Source organism: Homo sapiens, chromosome 17 (genome assembly GCF_000001405.40).
Source record: "Homo sapiens chromosome 17, GRCh38.p14 Primary Assembly".
Taxonomy (NCBI): Eukaryota; Metazoa; Chordata; class Mammalia; order Primates; family Hominidae; genus Homo; species Homo sapiens.
Window position 1 is genome coordinate 44393367 of NC_000017.11, and position 19392 is coordinate 44412758.

The following is a 19392-nucleotide window of genomic DNA, read 5'->3' on the forward strand; positions in this document are numbered from 1 at the left end:
GCAAAAATTGAGATATGAGTTGGTAGAAGTGAGTGAAGCTGTCTTTGGCAAATAAGAATGGAAATGGCTGACGAGGCCTGAATTAGTCATCAAGGGTTTGAAGAGGGAGTACTTTCATGTTTCAGGCCAAGGTGGCTGAGGCCTTATCAGAACAAGGCAATTAACTGCACGTATCTTCACATAACACTCTATACAGTCCAGTCTGCCTCTTTGACTTGTCACCTCCCCTGCTCTCAGAAAATCACTTTTTTTTTGTTTTTGAGATGGCGTCTCACTCTGTCACCCAGGCTGGAATGCAGTGGCATGATCTTGGCTCACTGGAACCTCTGCCTCCCGGGTTCAAGTGATTCTCCTGTCTCAGCCTCTTGAATAGCTGGGATTATAGGCGCACGCCATCATGCCTGGCTAATTTTTGTATTTTTAGTAAAGACGGGGCTTCACCATGTTAGTCAGGCTGGTCTCGATCTCTCCTGACCTCGTGATTCGCCTACCTCGGCCTCAGTGCTGGGATTACAGGCTTGAGCCACCGTGCCCCGCCCATTTTTTTTTTTTTTTTTTTTTTTTTGAGACGGAGTCTCACTCTATCACTCAGGCTGGAGTGCAGTGGCATGATCTTGGCTCACTGCAACCTCCACTTCCCACGTTCAAGCGATTCTCCTACCTCAGCCTCTTGAGTAGCTGCAATTACAGGCATGCACCACCATGCCTGGCCAATTTTTTTTTTTTTTTTAAATTTTTAGTAGAGATGGGGTTTCACCATGTTGGCCAGGCTGATCTCAAACTCCTGACCTCAAGTGATCCACCTGCCTTGGCCTTCCAAAGTGCTGGGATTAGACATGAGCCACCACACCTGGCCTCACTTTTCATTTTCTAACGTGTGTGTGTGTGTGTGTGTGTGAGACAGACAGGGTCTCACGCTGTTGCCCAGGCTAGAGTGCAGTGGTGTGATCTTGGCTCACGGCAACCTCCCGGTTCAAGCGATTCTCCTGCCTCAGCCTCTCGAGTAACTGGGATTACAGGCGTGTGCCACTACGCCCGGCTAATTTTTGTAGGTCTAATGTCATTTCTTTCTGGGTAAGGATCTTTGCTATTTTAGGAATATAGGCAGATCTGAGTACTCAACCCCAGGTTCAAGTTGAACAGCTCCTCTTTAATCAAAGGGAGAACACAGATGTATCAAACAGAGTAGGAAAGAAATGTATCAAAAGACAGTAGGAAAGAAAGCCTTTCCTTCTTGAAAGGCTGAGGTTGAGAGGGAAAGCTAATTTATCACTACAACTCTATGGTAGCTTTCCATGCTAAATTTTCCCTGCCTCTTTTGTGATTTTTTGATATGGAAGAGTAGGGGTTATATCTTCTCTGTAACAATTAGGCCATATTTCCTTATACCAAGTAGAGGTGCTCAAACACTGTAGTGGTATTAAAGGGCTGAGGAGAGTAACTGAAGACTGGCATACAGAACTCCACCTGGAGGACAAAAGTCCGGCAGATGATTCTTGTCATCTCAGTGCCCTTAAAGTAGTCCAAAATCCTAAAATTCAAAGCCAGAAATTCCACACCCATTTAGTAAGCACCTATATATACACCATATATTCTACTACACACAGATTATATATCTAAAATGGAAGGAAATCTTTCCTCTTGTGGGAAAGAGGAAGTGGAAAGGAGGTGTACATCCCAATACATCTACCTACAACTGAGAGAAATTAACTACTATTACCACCTCCCACACCATCATCTTTCCTCTCTCTTTGCGTAGCCTGAGCTTTCAGAAGCACAACTGCAAACATCTCTAACTGGTTCACAGGAATCTATTCCTTGGTCATGTCAAACAAGATGTTATTTATAACCCACACCTCCAACCCTACCTAACTTTGAGTGGATGGGGCAACAATTACGACAGACTCTGCTAAGTTTCCACAAATCATTGGTTTATTAGAAAGTTCCTTTCCCTCATTTTACAGCATATATATCTCTATCATATGTGATAAAGTTAAATACAATCTGTTATGCTTGTAAGTAAGGTTTATTTTTATTTTTACTTTTAAAATCACTATTCTGGAAGTTAAAGAAAATGCCCCTAGGAAGGCAAAGAGGCAGCCAGAGTATGGCTCAATCTACAAGCTAATGGGAAGCAGCACGAAAATGTTAATACTGTATTATTTATTTACATGGGCTGAAAGCAAAGAAAAATGAGTCCCTTCACTTACACAGATGATTTCATTTTTCCAGTGCTAGTTATCCAAGAAGTGATGCTTCTGAATCAGATGAGTACTGAACAGGTAGGAGGGTGGGAGGGCAGTCAAGAGTTGTGTTTGCCTGCCACTTTCTTTTCATAAACTTTACTCTTTTGAGAATTTGCGAAGGCAGGAACAGAGCCTTGGCCCAGGTAAGTATGGTTTTTCTTGTCAAGTGACCAACCAACCAATTCTAGCCACACGAATAGTTAGGAAAATGCCAAAGTGGGAATTGTTAACCTCATCAAAGGAGATGGGACCTGCAACACAAGCACCTTTGGGTCAGTGTGTTAATTAGGGCTGAGAGCCTGGGTGAAAGGCAAGAAGAGGGGCAAAAGAGGCTGAGGTGGTAATTCCTCTTGTCAGTGTCATGGGAGAAAAGAAACAAGGAACGTTTACTGTCTAAACTGAGCTGGGCAGAGGGCATGGAAACTATGAAGCAAAATATCTGTAAATGTGCTCACCTCCCAACAAAAGGAAGACTGTCCCAACTCATCCTCCAGCCTACTTCTACTTCCGTTTCTACCAACCCAAAAGGCACATTAAAAAAAAAATTGTCAGAGGGGGCTAAGTACTAGGAAGGCAAATGGACTGACTGCCTGGAACAAGGTACCCAGGGAAACCCAGGAATCCCCCCAGACAATCACCAAATCTCACTGCTTCCAGACAATAAAGCTGTTGAATCCCCTCCTTCTCCTCTGTGGGGTCTACCTGTTTCTCTGTGTAAAACAGCAAAAGTACATGAGGGAGACTGTTAAAGATGAGCATCCCTCAGAAGCCCCCAGCTGACTGCTGCCCATTAGCTCAAAAATCCCAATACTGGGGGCACTACATACTGCAAATTACTTAACATTTTGTCCCAGCAAAAAATGTTTTAACATTTTATAGTTCATAACTTCAAAAAATACATAAGTTTGGTAAAATATACATGCTTAGTCAGTTTTGCATCTAGCAGAAAACAAATATTTTATTTTTTGTTTTCATTTTATAACCTTTAGAGTTTCTTAATTCAACTAGGGCAAACATATTTACACAAAGCCACCAGAACGAGGATCACTTAAAGAGCTGGATGTAAAAAATATTATTGCAGTATACTACAAATATGGAACCTTTTTTATATGAGCTACAAAAAGCAGCATTTACGTTTATAGAGTTCAGTGCAATTTTTTACATTAAAAAAATCCTATAAATTAAGAAGGAAACATCAACACAACAGAAGAAAATATACCCTTCACTTTAGACACATGAGCTCCTCTCTGGGCCATACAGCTTTTATTCATGATAGGATCTTCTTTTCTGGGATATGGAGATGCCTCTTCTGGGATGAGGGATACCAAGATAACAGTGCCAAATGTGTGGCTCCGTTGATGTGGGAACTGGATGGAATTGCAGCCTGAGTTATATCAGGTTCCAGGTGAGACGCTTTCCACCTCACCTGGGATAACGTAACGTCACCAAAGATGGTCAAAGATACTACCCCAAAATGGTGGCACTTCCACCACTAGAACAGCTTGGCCTTCCCTGTGGCGCTGAGAAGGCAAGACCAGATGGGCCCACAGCAAGTGCTCTGGTGACAACCCACTGGCCAGAGGGGAGGAAAATGTTTTAAAATTTACAGAAGGGAAGAGCAGAGGAAAAAAGCAGAGGGAGGAGGGGATTATCTAAACTTGACAGTTTGGAGATGTTGCTGCAGAGGGGTGGGTAGCACTTACTGGTGTTCCCTAGCTTAGAAACACAGAAGAGGGAGGGACAAATTGAGAGGAGGACAGGAAAAAGAAATCCCTGATAGTAAACTGAAAGCAAACTTCAAATCTAAACCCACCCCTGCAAGCCAAAACTCAATTCTTTGGCTGTCAGACACTGCCCATCCCAGCTTCTACTTGCTGGTATTAATGGCTCAACACCCCCAAGGGAACATTTATGGGTCTCCTCCCCTGGCCCTACCTAGGATCCCATCCCCCAACTCACGTGCCATGGCTGGGGGGATGTTGCAGGTCCTGACCTGAGAAGATGGGGTGAAGTAGTGGGTGAAGGTGAAGTGCAGTGGCAGCTGCTGCAGCAGGCCGTGGAGCAAGTAGGGTGGGGTAGAGGGCAGCATGTGGGACAGGGTGAAAGGTGAAGGGCCCAGGATGGATGGCTGAGGCGGGAATGATGTGGATGGGATGGCTAGCGAGAAAGGTGGCAGGGTGGCCAGGGATGATTGAGTGAGTGAGGTGGGACAAAGAAATGGGGGTCAGATGGGGCTGGGGAATATGATGCACCTGGGCAAGTGGTTGGGGATGGGGGTGAGGGTGAATGCCGATGGCGGCAGCAGCTGCGGCAGCATGATGTTGTAGGATGGCATGCTGAACAGTTGTGATGGAGGTGGCAGAGGCTGTAGCTGGCTGCTGAATGTGGATGGGTTGCAGGGCTGGTGTGGCTGGGGCCAGGGCAGCTGAGGCTGGAAAGGCCTTTACTTGCTTGGCCAGAAGCTGCTGCTGGATGTGTTGCTGAGCAGCCTGCTGGAGCTTGCTGTACTTCTCCATCTCCTCAGGGGTGAAGGTGATGGGCTGGCTTTCCAGGGGGGCCAGTGAAGCATCCTCAGCCCCATCTGTTGACTCAATACTAGGATCCCCACTGGGAGGTGCATAACTGGGGAAATGCTCAAGGTCTGGTGCTATAGGCAGCAAGCTGGACTCCACAGGGCCTGGCTGACTGCTGCTATCCAGGGACTCCAGGGTGTCCCCATCACTGGGGTCGGGGAGGTAGTTATGGGAGATGGTTGGGTCCCCAGGGTAGCAGTCAGAATGTGCTGGGGTGCCTAGTGGAGCCACAGGGTGATCAGCAGTAGCTTCTCCAGACTTTGACTCTTCTGGGGGTGGGTCTAATAAGGGGCCAGTTGTTTCCTCTGAAGGGAACTGATGCCCAAATAGGGCATCACTACTCCCTGGGGGCCCCTCTTCTGTCTCTGACTGTTCTTGCTCTTCCCCCCTTTCCAAGCCAGACTCTTCACACTTCTTATTGGGCTTTCGGGTAGCTGGGAGCTTCCCTATCAGTGGAAGGACAGGCTTATTGCCAAGAGATGGGGGGAGCTTGGGCCCAAAGTAACCTTGTGGGGGGTCCTTGAGCTTGGGCCCAGCTTTATTAGGGGTGGCCTGCACCTCCTCACTCACACTAGGTTTCCTCTCCACTTTCCTTGACTGGATCTTCTCCAGTAGCAGTTTGGCAGTGACAGAGTTCTTGTCTTCAGGACTGCAGTCACCTTCTGACCCTCTTCCTGTGCCAATGTTGCTGTTCTGGGAAGGTGGACCTGTTGCTTTACTGTCATCTCCTCTGCCATCATCTTTCTTCCCAGGACCTTCTCCCCGGCCTGATCGGAAATAGTGGGGGGACTGGGAGCGGTAGATCTTAGAACGAATGAAGTCCCGACGCCCAGAATGCCTCTCCTCAGGGCTCTCGTGACCCCATGATCTCTTCCTGGAGCCTGATCTCTGGGAAGGGCTCCTGGTGCTGCGGCTGCGGTCCCGGCTATAGCTCCGGCTCCGTTGCCAGCTGTGGGCTGTGGTGCTACGGCTTCTCCGCTTGCTTCGACTACGACTACAACTGCTGCTGCGGCTGCGGCCCCGGGATCTTGAGCGCTCTCTGGTATGACTCCGAGATCGGCTTCGGGACTGGCTGCAACTGAGGCTATAGTCATCATCAGAAGATGAATATTTGTGCCGTTTTGATCGGTGTTTGGAGCTGGCATAGTCTGAGTCATCTGAGTCATGGGAGCGCTTGGAGTGCCTTCGTGATCTGTCACTGTAGTCACTGTAGCTGTCATCAGAGTAACTGCGCTGTCTACTATAGCAGCTCTGGTCTGAAGAGGCATCTGAGCTACTTGAGTAAGAACGCCGGGAGGAACGATGCGAGGAATGGCGCCGGCCAGACCTTGAGCGGCTGCGGGAATGCTCACTGCCTGAATCTTCCTCTTCTTCTTCCTCACTGTACTGGGATGGAGACTTCTGGTGCAGCCGGTGTGAGGAAGCATCATCACTATCCTCATCTCCACTACTGGGTTGGCTCCGATGGCTAGACCGGCTGCTCCGTTTGGTGCCTGCTCTTCGCTGGCAGGATGAAGGTGGAAGTTCACCTTTGTGTTTCCTCCCACCATGGTCTTGGGAGCTGCTACCACCCCCACCTTCATCCTTTTTGCCACTGCTCCCCTCTTCAGCTGGGAGGGATCTCCGCTGGGAGTCATCTTGAGCTCTCCGCCTTCTTCTTGGTGGTGCGGGACTGCCACTCCCAGGGGGTTCTGGTTTGGGTCCTCGTTCAGAATCTGCTGGGGCTGATGACTTATTCTTCTTTCGTTTTCGTTTCTTGCGCTTCTTAGATTTCTCCCCTGACTCTGCCTTAGAGCTTTTCTCTTCTGTGTCAGCCTTGTGTTTACGTTTGTGTTTGCTGGATTTTTTGTGCTTCTTTTTCTTTTTGTGCCGGTGGGACTTCCCAGATCGTTCTTTCTTGCTGGGAAGGCTTCTCCCTGTGTCTTCTGTCTCAGACCCATGGCTACCCCCAGGCTCCTGCTTGTTCAGGCCGCTACAGGCAGACCCTGAAGCAGGTGCGTCCATTCTGCCTCCTGAGGAACGTACTATTTTCTCTCCGCCCACTTCCTTGCTTTTATTTGGCTCACCAGGATCTAGGCCTTGGAGATGGTCCTTTGAGGAGCTTCCTATATCCTTTGGTTTTTCTGTTCCTTTAGTTCTGGCATCTTTGTTCCTTGAAAGTTTAAAGTCAAAATATAAAGGGTTACAACTGTATGAAATGGAGGGTTCTGCCTTGGTGAAAATTAATAGTTCTGATGGCCACTGGAGGGCAGTGCTTTCATCTTTGCTCAAAACTGGGAAGAAGGGACCAGTAGGATGTTTGGGTCCTTCTTGGCTTTCTTTCCCTGCTGGGGTGGCCAGAGAGGTTTCTTTAGAAGAGTTGGACTCACACATTTGGGTCTCTGAAACCTTCTGACTATGACTTTCTAAACTCTGATCACTTACATCCCCTCCTAAGGCCTTCTTTGCCTCAGCTTTGCTTCCTGGTTCTGAGGGCTCGGTCATGCTGGTTTCCTTCGGCTGCTCAGAGACTTCACTAACTGTCTTTTCTGCTCCTTGGCTTGCTGCCGCCTTGATGCAGCTTTTAGGCTTGGGAGAACTGCCTTTTTTACTCTCTGGGGCATTCTTTGGGTGTGTAGTATTATCACCATCCATTTGTTCACTGGCTCTCATAAAAAGTAGAAAGGGAAAATTAGGTTTTACTTTGCAGTGTGCTGGGGGGATGTAGTGGTAATACTCAGGCTCTGTAGCCCCAGCTCCTTCTTCTCGTTTCATCCTTTTTAATTTGGATAATGTTGAGGCAAGGGACCCTCCATCCTGAGGGTCTTCATCCTCTTTTTTACCATCAAGATTACTGCTCCCATCAGAGTCTCCTACCTTCTGCAGTCCTTGGTCAGAACTCTTCTCATCGGGTTTTGTTCCATCTTCAGAGGTCCCTTCCTCCGCATGGTCCTTGAAAACTGATGCTATTGATTCGAGTTTGACAGGAGCCTTTTTGGCAAAAGAAAATGACACTCCCAATTTTTGCAATGGGGTCCCCAGATTATTCTTAATGCCAAAGCTGATGCCTTGGGAGGCTAACCCAGGAGCCTGGGCCAGTCCAGTGGTATTAGTGATTTGTACTGCAGTGAAAGGGCCTCCTTTATCTGTGGAGAATTCAGATCCCAGGCCACAAGAAGCAGTGGCACCTGTGCCACTATTTGTAGCTGATTCATCTTTATCATCTTCTCCACCTTCTTCATCTACAGCCACTGTGGTTGGTTTGAACATGGGACCACTTCCAGGTGCACTACATGATGATTTAGAAAAATAAAAAACAAAAAGCAGGTTTAGGAGTACATTTCATAAACCTTATAAAATACTAATCTCTTATATCCTATCATTCATTATAGGTAGGTCTCAAAGACAGTGAGTGGTGGTCATATTCCCTAGCCCTATACTAACAAATGCGACTTTCTAAGAGGAGGTTAGGCAAAGACTCATTCTGTTAACCTACCAAATTCCCAGGGCCAGCCAGTTATTACATAGCTTTTCCTTAAGCTGTCTAAAGTACAAAAAGCTGGGTGTGGTGGCTCATGCCTGTAATCCCAGCACTTTGAGAGGCCAAGGTGGACAGACTGCTTGAGGTCAGAAGTTCGTAAACAGCCTGGCCAACACGGTGAAACCCTGTCTCTACTAAAAATACAAAAATTAGCCAGGCATGGTGGCACACACCTGTAATCCCAGCTACTTGGGAGGCTGAGGCAGAAGAATCGCTCTAACCTGGGAGATGGAGGTTGCAGTGAGCCAAGATCACGCCACTGCACTCCAGTCTGGGTGACAGAGCGAGACTCCCTCTCAAAAAAATTAAAAAAAAAAATAAAAAATAAAGTACAGGCCGGGCGCAGTGGCTCACGCCTGTAATCCCAGCACTTTGGGAGGTGGAGGCGAGCAGATCATGAGATCAGGAGTTCAAGACCAGCCTGACCAACATGGTGAAACCCCGCCTCTGCTAAAAATACAAAAATTAGCTGGCTGTGGTGGCGGGCGTCTGTAATCCCAGCTACTCAGGAGGCTGAGGCAGAAGAATAACTTGAACCTGGGAGAGGCAGAGGTTGCAGTGAGCTGAGATCGCAGCACCACTGCACTCCAGCCTGGGTGACAGAGCAAGACTCTGTCTCAAAAAAAAAAAAAAAAAAAAAAAAGTAAGACTTATGTCACGACTGAAATAGCCCATCATTACTATGTTTCTGATCTCATTTCTTATTTTATAATTTTGTCCATCAGTATGTTATCTAATGTATGGCTGTACATGTATTCACATAGGTTTTATTTCATTCAATTAAAGAAAAACTCTTGCTGGGTCAGGGTGGCTCACATGTGTAATCTCAGTGATTCAGAAGGCTGAGGAGGGAGGATTGCTCGAGGCCAGGAGATCAAGACCAGTCTGGGCAACATAGTGAGACCCCACCTCTAAAAAAAATAAAAATAAAAATTTCCCCATGCTTTCAAATTTCATTTTTTAAAAATTTGCATATTCTGAGTTAAACATAGAAACTTCCACTGTGCTACTTATGGCAGTCTGTGGTCAGCATGTCTGCCACAGAAACTAAAAAGTCCATGCCTATCTCCTGGGTACCGTAACAAGCATTTGCTTTGGTTTTGTGGCAGTTTCTGGGCATTCAGTACTACAGTCATAATGTTACCTGAGCACTTTCATCTTTGACAAAAGGAACATCAAGGAGCCTCAATAGTTTTAAACTGATGATCTTGCCTGAAAGTTTTATTTTTCTGAGGTGGGGTCTAACTGCATTGCCCAGGCTGGAGTGAAGTGGCATGATCATAGCTCATTGCAGTCTCAAACTCCTGGCTCAATCCTCCCACCTCAGCCTCCTAAGTAGCTATGACTACAGGTGCACCTCACCATGCTGGCTAATTTTATTTATTTATTTGAGACAGTGTCACCCTATTGCCCAGGCTGGAGTACAGTGGTGCGATCTCGGCTCACTGCAACCTCTACCTCCCGGGTTCAAGTGATTCTCCTCCCTCAGCCTCCCAAGTAGCTGGGACTACAGGCATGTACCACCATGCCCAGCTAATTTTTGTATTTTTAGTAGAGATGGGCTTCACCATGTTGGCCAGGATGGTCTTGATCTCTTGGCCTCGTGATCCACCTGCCTCGGCCTCCCAAAGTGCTGGGATTACAGGCTTGAGCCACCATGCTCGGCCCATGCTGGCTAATTAAAAAAAAATTTTGCAGAGACAGAGTCTTGCTATGTTGACCAGTTTGGTCTTGAACACCTGGCCTCAAGTGATCCTCCTGCCTCTGTGTCACAAAGTGCTGGGATTACAGATGTGAGCCACTGCGCATCTGGCTTGCAATTTTTATAGTTTGTACACTATACAGCGTACACTATACCCTTAAATTCCAAATCAAGAACTAAACAGAATCAGAGACCTATTTATATGATGTCCTTGTTATCCAAACCCTAGCTAACAGCTTTCCTCAACTCAGGGATAAGTATATTCAGACAATATGTAATCTCTCTTTTTTTTTTTTTTCTCCCAAGCTGGAGTTTTGCTCTTGTTGCCCCGGCTGGAGTGCAATGGTACAATCTTGGCTCACTGCAACCTCTGCCTCCTGGGTTCAGGCAATTCTCCTGCCTCAGCCTCCTTAGTAGCTGGGATTACAGGCGTACGCCACCATGCCCGGCTAATTTTTGTATTTTTAGTAGAGACAGAGTTTCACCATGTTGGTCAGGCTGGTCTCAAGCTCCTGACCTAAGGTGATCCACCTACCCCGGCCTCCCAAAGTGCTGGGATTACAGGCGTGAGCCACCGTGCCCGGCCAATGTGTAATCTCTTGCTATCTAAACTATTGCTACTGGAAAATGAGAACTCAACAGATTTGGAGAGCAAGAAATACTTACACTGTGTTATGAAACCTACTCCACAGCAAACAAATAAAAAACAACGCCCCGCAAACTGAATAAAAAGGGGATTCTTTTTTTTGAGACAGGGTCTTGCTCTATCACCCAGGCTGGAGTGCAGTGCTGTGATCACAGCTCACTGCAGCCTTGATCTCCCAGGCTCAAGTGATTCTTCTACCTCAGGCTCCTGAGTAGCTGGGACTACAGGCATGTGCCACCATGCCCGGCTAATTTTTAAGATTTTTTTTTTTTAGAGACAGGGTCTTCCTATGTTGCCCTGGCTGGTCTTGAGCTCCTGGGTTCAAGTGATCCTCTTACTTTGGCCTCCCAAGGTGCTGGGATTACAGGTGCGAGTCACTATGCCCAGCATATGCTTTTTAATATAAATGTTAGAAAATGGGAATCATTGTAATAGTGTCATAATTTATTGATTTATTGAGAATCTTTGATGTGCTAGGCATCCCTTCAAGCATTTCTGAGGTAATAATCACTCCTCACAACAACTGTAAGTTGTTCTTATCTCTATCTTACAGATAAGGAAACTGAGGCATAGAGAGTTTAGATATAATTTCATTAAGTCACATAAATAGTAAGAAAAATATGGCCTCAAAAATACACAAACTTAATCAGTATATTATACTATAATTATATAGATATGCTTTTAGTTTGAAAGAAGGATCTATTAAACATTTTAAGGAACTGGAGGACTAATTATTATGTTAAGTAAAGTAACCCAGGAACAGAAAATCAAACACTGCAGGTTGCCACTCATATGTGGAAGCTTAAAAAAAAAAGTTGATCTCATAGAAGTAAAAAGTAGAACAGAGGATACTAGAAGCTGGGAAGGGCGGAAGGAGAGATTTGTTACAAAATTACAGCTAACTAGGAAGAGTAAGTTCCAGTGTTCTGTACCACTGTAGGATAACTAGAGTTAACAATACTATATAGTTTCAAATAGTTAGAAAGAGGATACCGAATGTTCCTGCACAAAGAAATAATAAATGTTTGAGATGATGGATATGGTAATTACCCTGATCTGATCGCTATATATTATATGTATTGAAACATTACTAGGTAACCTATGAATATGTACAGTTGTTATCTGTCAATTAATAAAAACTGAAGGTTTATAATTCTTTTTTTTTTTTTTTTGAGACGGAGTTTCACTCTTGTTGCCCAGGATGGAGTGTAATGGCGCAATCTTGGCTCACCACAACCTCCGCCTCCCAGGTTCAAGCGATTCTCCTGCCTCAGCCTCCCTAGTAGCTGGGATTATAGGCATGTGCCACCACGCCCGGCTAATTTTGTATTTTTAGTATAGACGGGGTTTCTCCATGTTGGTCAGGCTGGTCTCGAACTCCCAACCTCAGGTGATCTGCCCGCCTCGGCCTCCCAAAGTGCTGGGATTATAGGCGTGAACCACCATGCCCGGCCACTTTTGTTTTTTTTGAGACAGAGTCTTGCTCTGTCGCCCAGGCTGGAGTACAGTGGTGCGATCTTGGCTCACTGCAAGCTCTGCCTCTCAGGTTCACGCCATTCTCCTGCCTCAGCCTCCAGAGTAGCTGGGACTACAGGCGCTCGCCACCATGCCCGGCTAATTTTTTGTATTTTTAGTAGAGATGGGGTTTCACCGTATTAGCCAGGATGGTCTCAATCTCCTGACCTCGTGATCCGCCCGCCTCGGTCTCTCAAAGTGCTGGGATTATAGGGGTGAGCCACTGCGCCTGGCACAAGGTTTTTAATTCTTAAATCTTAATTTAAATCTTAAATTATAATCTGAAATCTATAATTTAAAATTTTAAGGATTATAATTATCTGTACAACCCTCTGATAAAAAATATCCTCACCATTCAGCTTGTTTTCTTTGCTCTGCCAACTCATGGAGCCGCCGAAGGGCTTTTTCCTGTTTTTTCTCATCCTTGCGGGATCTTGAAGAGACATTTCGAGCAAACTCTCTCTGCTTCAGATCTTTTAATCTCTGGGTTAAAAGAAAGAAAGATACAGAGGGTGGATGATTTACAGTAACTTGGGAATCAGAAAGCAAAGCCTTTAGGACATGACCCTCAACCAACAGTCATGGTATTAGTGTTGAACACATTATCATATTCTCTTATGGCAATTGAAAACACAATGGCTGATTACTTTGGGTATAGCACTTGCAGTATCTGCATTTCTAATTAGGACAGCATATCATTTGCTTTATTAGGCAAAATAAAATGATCTCAAATGCAACAAGCAAATTTTAGAACACTGGGAGGAAAGAAAGGGACTATTTAATCACCTGCTCCTCCAGGATGCAAAACTAGACAAACATAACATGAGATAAATTGTAATAACACAAGCCAAAGAGAACAGAAAGGGGTTAGGCTAGTACAGAAAATTACCCAGGTGTAAGATCTTGAAAAGCAATGTACAGCTTACATGGGGGGGGGGGGTTATTTAAATTAGAACAAATAGAAAGCATACTTTTATTTCACCATAAAAAGGTGGTTTTTTTTTCTTTCAGCATGAGTAGAGGTTTCCTATAACTATTAAATAAACCCAAGACAGGTCTTCCAGCGCTAGCATGTTTAGAGCTCACCAGTCTGACCACTTTTATCTGGTCAGCCTGCTGAAAGTAGTATGTGAGGCTTTGCATTCCTTCATGGCCCTGAGAGGAATATCCAGGGGATGAGGAGGGAGAGCAGAGATAAGTCAAAGATTTTATTACTTAAAATCCAGGTAACAGAATGGGTCTTTTATTTTCAGAAGCTACTGTATAATTTTCCTTAAAATAAAACAAAACAAACTACAACCAAAAAAGAACAGTGTTATGACACACTGGTGACAGAACCCAGACATATCTATCTGCAATGAAGACAGAACTAAAATTATTTTCAAGACATTAGATAATAACAAGAAACAAACAAAACGAAACATATACATTAACCTATGCTTTTACAACAGCATTGGGAAAAGGAATTTGACCCAGTATAAAGTGGACATTGCTTTGTAGAAAGGCATGATGTTCAACAGACAGAGGAATTTTCTTACCTAATATTTATGAAATGTGTTTTGAATCTTTTTAAATTGGGAGGGGGGAAGGGTAAAAAGACACACACAAAAAAAGATATACAGCTAAAGACACTAGTAGAAAAACTCACTCTTGTGATCTGGGCTCCCAAATTAGAAGGATTTGCTTTCAATACATCAGCTGAAAATGTCACATCACAAAGAAAAAAAAGTAAAAAATAAAACAAGAGTGGAAGAGAAAAAAAAAATAAAGCAAGCATTACTACACGAGCTCTCTTAGTGAATCTGTAAACTATTATACTGAACAATCAGGGACAAAGCCATCAACTCTAAAAGGGCTAGGGAGAAGGGAAGCACCTGTACAACATATATATGTGTACATACACACAGACTGACACAGTAATCCCACCTAGAAAAATGGAACTACCTGTATTTCTTCCAGAAAAATGGTTCCAGAACTTTGGAAAAGACCATTATGGTATTAAAAAGCAGTCCTGTTTCCATTAGCCCTTATTATGGGGGAAGTTCAAGTAATGAACAGCTGGCAAAACTGTTAGTGCCCATAATTAAGATTTTTTTTTTTTTTTTTGAGATGGAGTCTCACTCTGTTGCCCAGGCTGGAGTGCAGTGGCACAATCTTGGCTCACTGCAGCCTCCGCCTCCCAGGTTTAAGAGATTCTCATGCGTTAGCCTCCCAAGTAGCTGGGATTACAGGCGTGAACCCCTATGCTTGGCTAATTTTTATATTTTTAGTAGAGACGAGGTTTCACCATGTTGGCCAGGGTGGTCTCAAACTCCTGGTCTCAAGTGATCTACCTGCCTCGGCCTCCCAAAGTGCTGGGATTAAAGGCATGAGATACCACACCCAGCCCACAATTAAGATTTTTATAAAACCACTTCAAGATGAAGGATCAACTATTTTAAATAAATACGAATTCTAATTTCTTCCTCCTGAGGGGAATGGGGCAGAAAGAAAAGGCTTATCAGGCCTATTATATGATTACTTTTGGCCACAAACCTAGTTTTTTCTTCCCCAAACACGTAACAGGCTCTCTAACCAAGATTTAGATAGAATATAATGTTCTTCTCACATCTGCCATTTTCTCTTTTTTTTTTGAGATGGAGTTTTATTCTGTCGCCCAGGCTGGAGTGCAGTGGTGTGTGATCTTGGCTCACTGCAACCTCTGCCTCCCGGGTCCAAGCAATTCTCCTGCCTTAGCCTCCCGAGTAGCTGGGACTACAGGTGCCTGTCACCACACCCGGCTGATTTTTTATATTTTTAGTAGAGATGAAGTTTCATTTTCTTGGCCAGGCTAGTCTTCAATTCCTGACCTCAGGTGATCCGCCCGCCTCGGCTTCCCAAAGTGATGGGATTACAGGCATAAGCCACTGTGTCCATATACATTATGGCCTGCCATCTTCTCTCTAGCCACCTGCTAAGACTGGAAAATTTCCCCATGCCATTTCCTCCCCTCTTACAAATATTTCACTACTTTTAGGAAGCATTTTTCAAACTACATGACATTGTCCAAAAGAACAATCATTTTATCAAAGTATGGAGTCCCCAGGGTGAGTCAAGATTAGGCTTTCCATTCAGCAGCCACTCTGTACAACCTTGAAGATGAAGGAACAGGACCATGCCCACATCATGCTGAAGACATCCTATCTCAAGTTCCTACCACAGGAATATGGTTGGAGGTAGATACGGAAGAAGATGGGATGAAGCAATAAAACGAATCTAAATTGCAGGCTCCCTCTGGGCAAACCTATCCTAAGAATACCCTATAAGGCTTAGGAAGGCTCCCAGTATCACATTTACAAACTTTACAGTCAAGTCTGCAATCTCAAAAGCAGAATTGAGAACCCCAGAATTCTCACCCCAACCTTGAGACAGGACTCAGCAAACCATCTCAAACTGAGTATGTATACTTGTGGTTTCTCTCAGATGAGGACATTCTGGCGACTTTTTTTTAAGAGACAAGGTCTCACTTTGTTGCCCAGGTGGGAGTGCTGGGGCTATTCACATGTGTGATTCCACTACTGATCAGCATGGGAGTTCTGACCTGCTCTGTTTCCGACCTGAACCAGTTCACTTCTCCTTAGGAAACTTGGTTGGCCCCCAGCTCCTGGGAGTTCATCACATGATGCCTAACTTAGTGCAGACACCCAATCAGCATAGCGCACTATAGTTCAGAACTCCTGGGCTCAAGTGATACCCCCAGCCTCAGCCTCCCAAGAAGCCAGGACTACAGGCATGCACCACTACGCCCAGCCAAGACATGGGTTATAAGGTTCATATTTTCCTTTACCTAGAATGAATGCCTAACTCCAAGTGTCTCCTGCCTACTCAAGGTCAGACTAAATTCTTACAAAGTCTCCACTGATCCTTCAAAAGAGGTGACTGTTCTTTCTGAACTGTCCCTAGTGGTGCTTTGTCATACTGCTCACCTAGCAGCTATCGTACTTTGTTCTCTGACCAGTTATTCCTGTCTTTTAAAAAGGCAGTATGTGTAAAGCATCGGAGTCAGAAAGCTTGGGTTCAAATCCATTAATTACTAGCCAATCCACTTATTACTAGGTGATTTCACCTCTCTGAGTTCCAGCTCCCTCATTAAAAAACAGGGCTATCTATCTACAGATTAACAAGATTAAATGTCAAAATAAATGTAAAGCATTTAATAAGTCACAACTGTTCAATACTCCCTTCCCTCCGTGTGGGGCAGGGACTACAGCTTATCTTTATAATCAACCCCGCAGTGCACAAAACACTACTAAGTCTACGGAGGGCATCTGGTAAATGTCCAGTGAATAATTCAGTTCAAACATCAGATCCTTCATTTTTCCTCAAATAATTTTTTCTACTATTTGTAGGAAAGGTTGATATAAAGTATTCTCGTATCTTTATTAGGGACATATTAAAGTTATATAGTATGGTCCTCCTAGTTACCACTCCAGATACCTCTTATTTCTAGACAGAATTGGGCCAAATGGCAAAAGATACTGGCCAGAAACTTCTCAGCTTCCTACCTAAAAAGTAATTTTTATAAAGGCACAAGGACCTAATCAGAGTCAGGTTTTCCAAAATTGCCTATTTTATTCCAAAAGGCTACCAACGTCTGGCTCATTTGTCACGGAATACCCACGTGAAATTCTGTGAATTGTACCTGCACTTTTCTCTTAAATTCTAAAGAGGAACACAACTATAGATAATTTCTTCAGGTGAGAATAGAGAAACATGCCTGCCTATGAGAGAAGAGACAGCGCTCACAAGACCAAACACTGCAGATATGTCATCAATCTCTTGTCAAAGTCTGAGCAAATTCCATACCATACACAAAAATTCAAGTTAAACTCCAAAATGGGACATTCTAATTTGAATGGATTTAATTATCCATTTAAGCTGACTCAAAAGCTATGAGATGTCCTTATCTCTGAAAATTATACGATATGCTTTCTGAAGAGCTGCTAATAAATTAGATTATGTTATTGAACCACTAATGGTATTAACAAAAATTTAAGCCACATAGCACATTTTTAGTTGGGAAATACCTTAATTCAAGAAAAGGAGACTGAACCCCACTGGAAATGAAAAGATATGAAGATTCTGTTTTCCTGAAAAATCAACAGCATTTTTCCAAAACAGTATACATTTGTGGCACAGTACAGAATGGAAGGAACATTTCCCACAGATCCTTAATCACATGGTGGCTGGGATTTCCATTACACCTTCCAGAAGACCAGTAGAAAGGCAAGACCCTAACAAATGATCCAGTACTTGAAGTACCCATCCACATTAACTGTGGCTCTTTGGGTTAAAGACCACTCTAAATGGAAATGATATTCCAGTTCTTAAAACATAACTTAAACAGCATTATATTGGCAGAAAAACGTTTTACTGTGGACACAAAGTATTGCTCTACTATCACTGAAAAGATTAAGCCAAAGAAATGAGAATCAGGTAAATCTGAATGTGGATTATAAATGTGCAGAAAAGGTACACCCCAACAGCCACCCACTTCTCTTTAAGTGTAGACTTCAAGAGCAGAAACATTCTGCTCAGTGTCTATTAAAATAAGGCAACTATGACAATTGGGCTTTGCAGATCATCTGTAAAATGGCTCCCAAGAAATACGGCCTCTTTCTATAGTGGTTAGAACTTTTAAGATAGTCATCATTCTGTCAATAGTCAAGAGCAACAGTGTTCCTGCTCAACTGTGATTGAGTTGAGTAAGACACACATTTCTGCACAGTGTTCTCTAACAACAAAAGATAATACAAGGGTTTAACAAAATCTTTTTGTATCTTTTAGTGCTATGCTTCTCTCTACCATCAAAATAAAATTTGACACTAGGAGTTTATATTTGATGGAGTATACTAAGAATAATTCTGATTACTTTCTCGAGTATTTAAAATTGATTATCTACATTTAAATAAAACCCATTTTTCTCATGTAAAGGGGATTTCAAGTATCAGAAAACAGGCAGAATTTAGGGCAGAATATTTCCTACTGCCACTAAAATCCCATGTTCTACATTTACTCAGCTCTGAAGAGAAAACTTGATTTTGTCCCTTTAGGGTCTAAAGATTATCCATGGCGTCTTTCCCTCACCAGATAGCAACTCTGCTCTCCCAACAGGGACTGAGGCTTAGTCTTTCTTTGTAACTAACTATGCAATGTACACATAGTTGTCTATGACACAAAAGAGATGCGCAGTAAATATTTATCAAACTGGGTTGTGGCTCACACCTGTACTCTCAACACTTTGGGAGGCTGAGGTAAAAGGATCGCTTGAGGACAGGAGTCCAAGACCAGTCTGGGCAACACAGCAAGACTGTGTCTATAAAAAAAAAATTGAGATGGAGTTTCACTCTTGTTGCCCAGGCTGGAGTACAATGGCGCAATCTCAGCTCACCGCAACCTCTGCCTCCCAGGTTCAAGGGATTCTCCTGCTTCAGCCTCCCGAGTAGCTGGGATTACAAGCATGCGCCACCACGCCTGGCTAATTTTTGTATTTTTAGTAGAGACAGGGTTTCTCCATGTTGGTCGGGATGGTCTCAAACTCCTGACCTCAGGTGATCTGCCCACCTTGGCCTCCCAAAATGCCGGGATTACAGGCATGAACCACCACGCACGGCCAAAAAAATTTTTTTAAATTAGTTGGGCGCAGTGGTTATGTGCTTGTAATCCCAGCTATATGGGAGGCTGAGGCAGGAGGATTGCTTGAGTTCAAGGTCACAGTGAGCTATGATTGTGCCACTGCACTCCAGCCTGGGAAACAGAGCAAGAACCTTTCATTTTATTTTTTATTTCATTTTTTTGAGACAGAGTCTCCCTCTGTCACCCAGGCTGGAGTGCAGTGGCAGAATTTTGGCTCACCACAACCTCCACCTCCTGAGTTCAAGTGATTCTCGGGCCTCAACCTCCCGAGTAGCTGGGACTACAGACGCATGCCACCACACCCGGCTATTTATATTTTTAGTAGAGACAGGGTTTCACCATGTTGGCCAGGCTGGTCTTGAACTCCTGACCTCAGGTGATCCACCTGCCTCTGCCTCCCAAAGTGCTGGGATTACAGGTGTGAGCCACCACACCCAGCTGAACCTGTCTTTAAAACAAAATAAAAAAAGATGTGTTGTATCTCGACCACTATTTCTGGCTAAGCATAATCTGGC

General features: G+C 44.2%; 1 protein-coding gene and 1 pseudogene across 14 annotated transcripts in view, besides 2 other annotated features; both read right to left on the reverse strand.

Moving 5' to 3' along the window:
* GPATCH8 (G-patch domain containing 8) overlaps positions 1915-19392 on the reverse strand; it is a 108126-nt gene continuing 90648 nt past the window's right edge. For 7 of the 14 annotated variants that reach the window (XM_011524557.2, XM_011524558.3, XM_011524561.3 and 4 more), the window contains 3 exons: positions 13851-13900; positions 12555-12685; positions 1915-8087 (listed from right to left, as the gene is read on the reverse strand). In XM_011524557.2, coding sequence (XP_011522859.1) covers positions 4202-8087; positions 12555-12685; positions 13851-13900 — 4067 coding nt within the window. In that variant the 3' untranslated portion in view covers positions 1915-4201. The remainder of the gene's footprint in view (positions 8088-12554; positions 12686-13850; positions 13901-19392) is intronic. The other 7 variants (NM_001304939.2, NM_001304942.2, NM_001002909.4 and 4 more) reach the window with 1 other exon arrangement.
* Positions 4114-4614: an enhancer, noted in NCBI's record as "H3K4me1 hESC enhancer chr17:42474848-42475348 (GRCh37/hg19 assembly coordinates)". NCBI's record gives its function as "activates a minimal SCP1, AML or CMV promoter by ChIP-STARR-seq in naive H9 embryonic stem cells {active_cell/tissue: H9 hESC(naive)}" and the evidence as "EXISTENCE:reporter gene assay evidence [ECO:0000049][PMID:30033119]".
* Positions 6826-7289: a silencer, noted in NCBI's record as "fragment chr17:42477560-42478023 (GRCh37/hg19 assembly coordinates)". NCBI's record gives its function as "represses an EF-1alpha promoter that drives an FKBP-Casp9 reporter gene in an ReSE screen in K562 erythroleukemia cells {active_cell/tissue: K562}" and the evidence as "EXISTENCE:reporter gene assay evidence [ECO:0000049][PMID:32094911]".
* On the reverse strand, positions 15693-15992 carry RN7SL258P (RNA, 7SL, cytoplasmic 258, pseudogene; annotated as a pseudogene).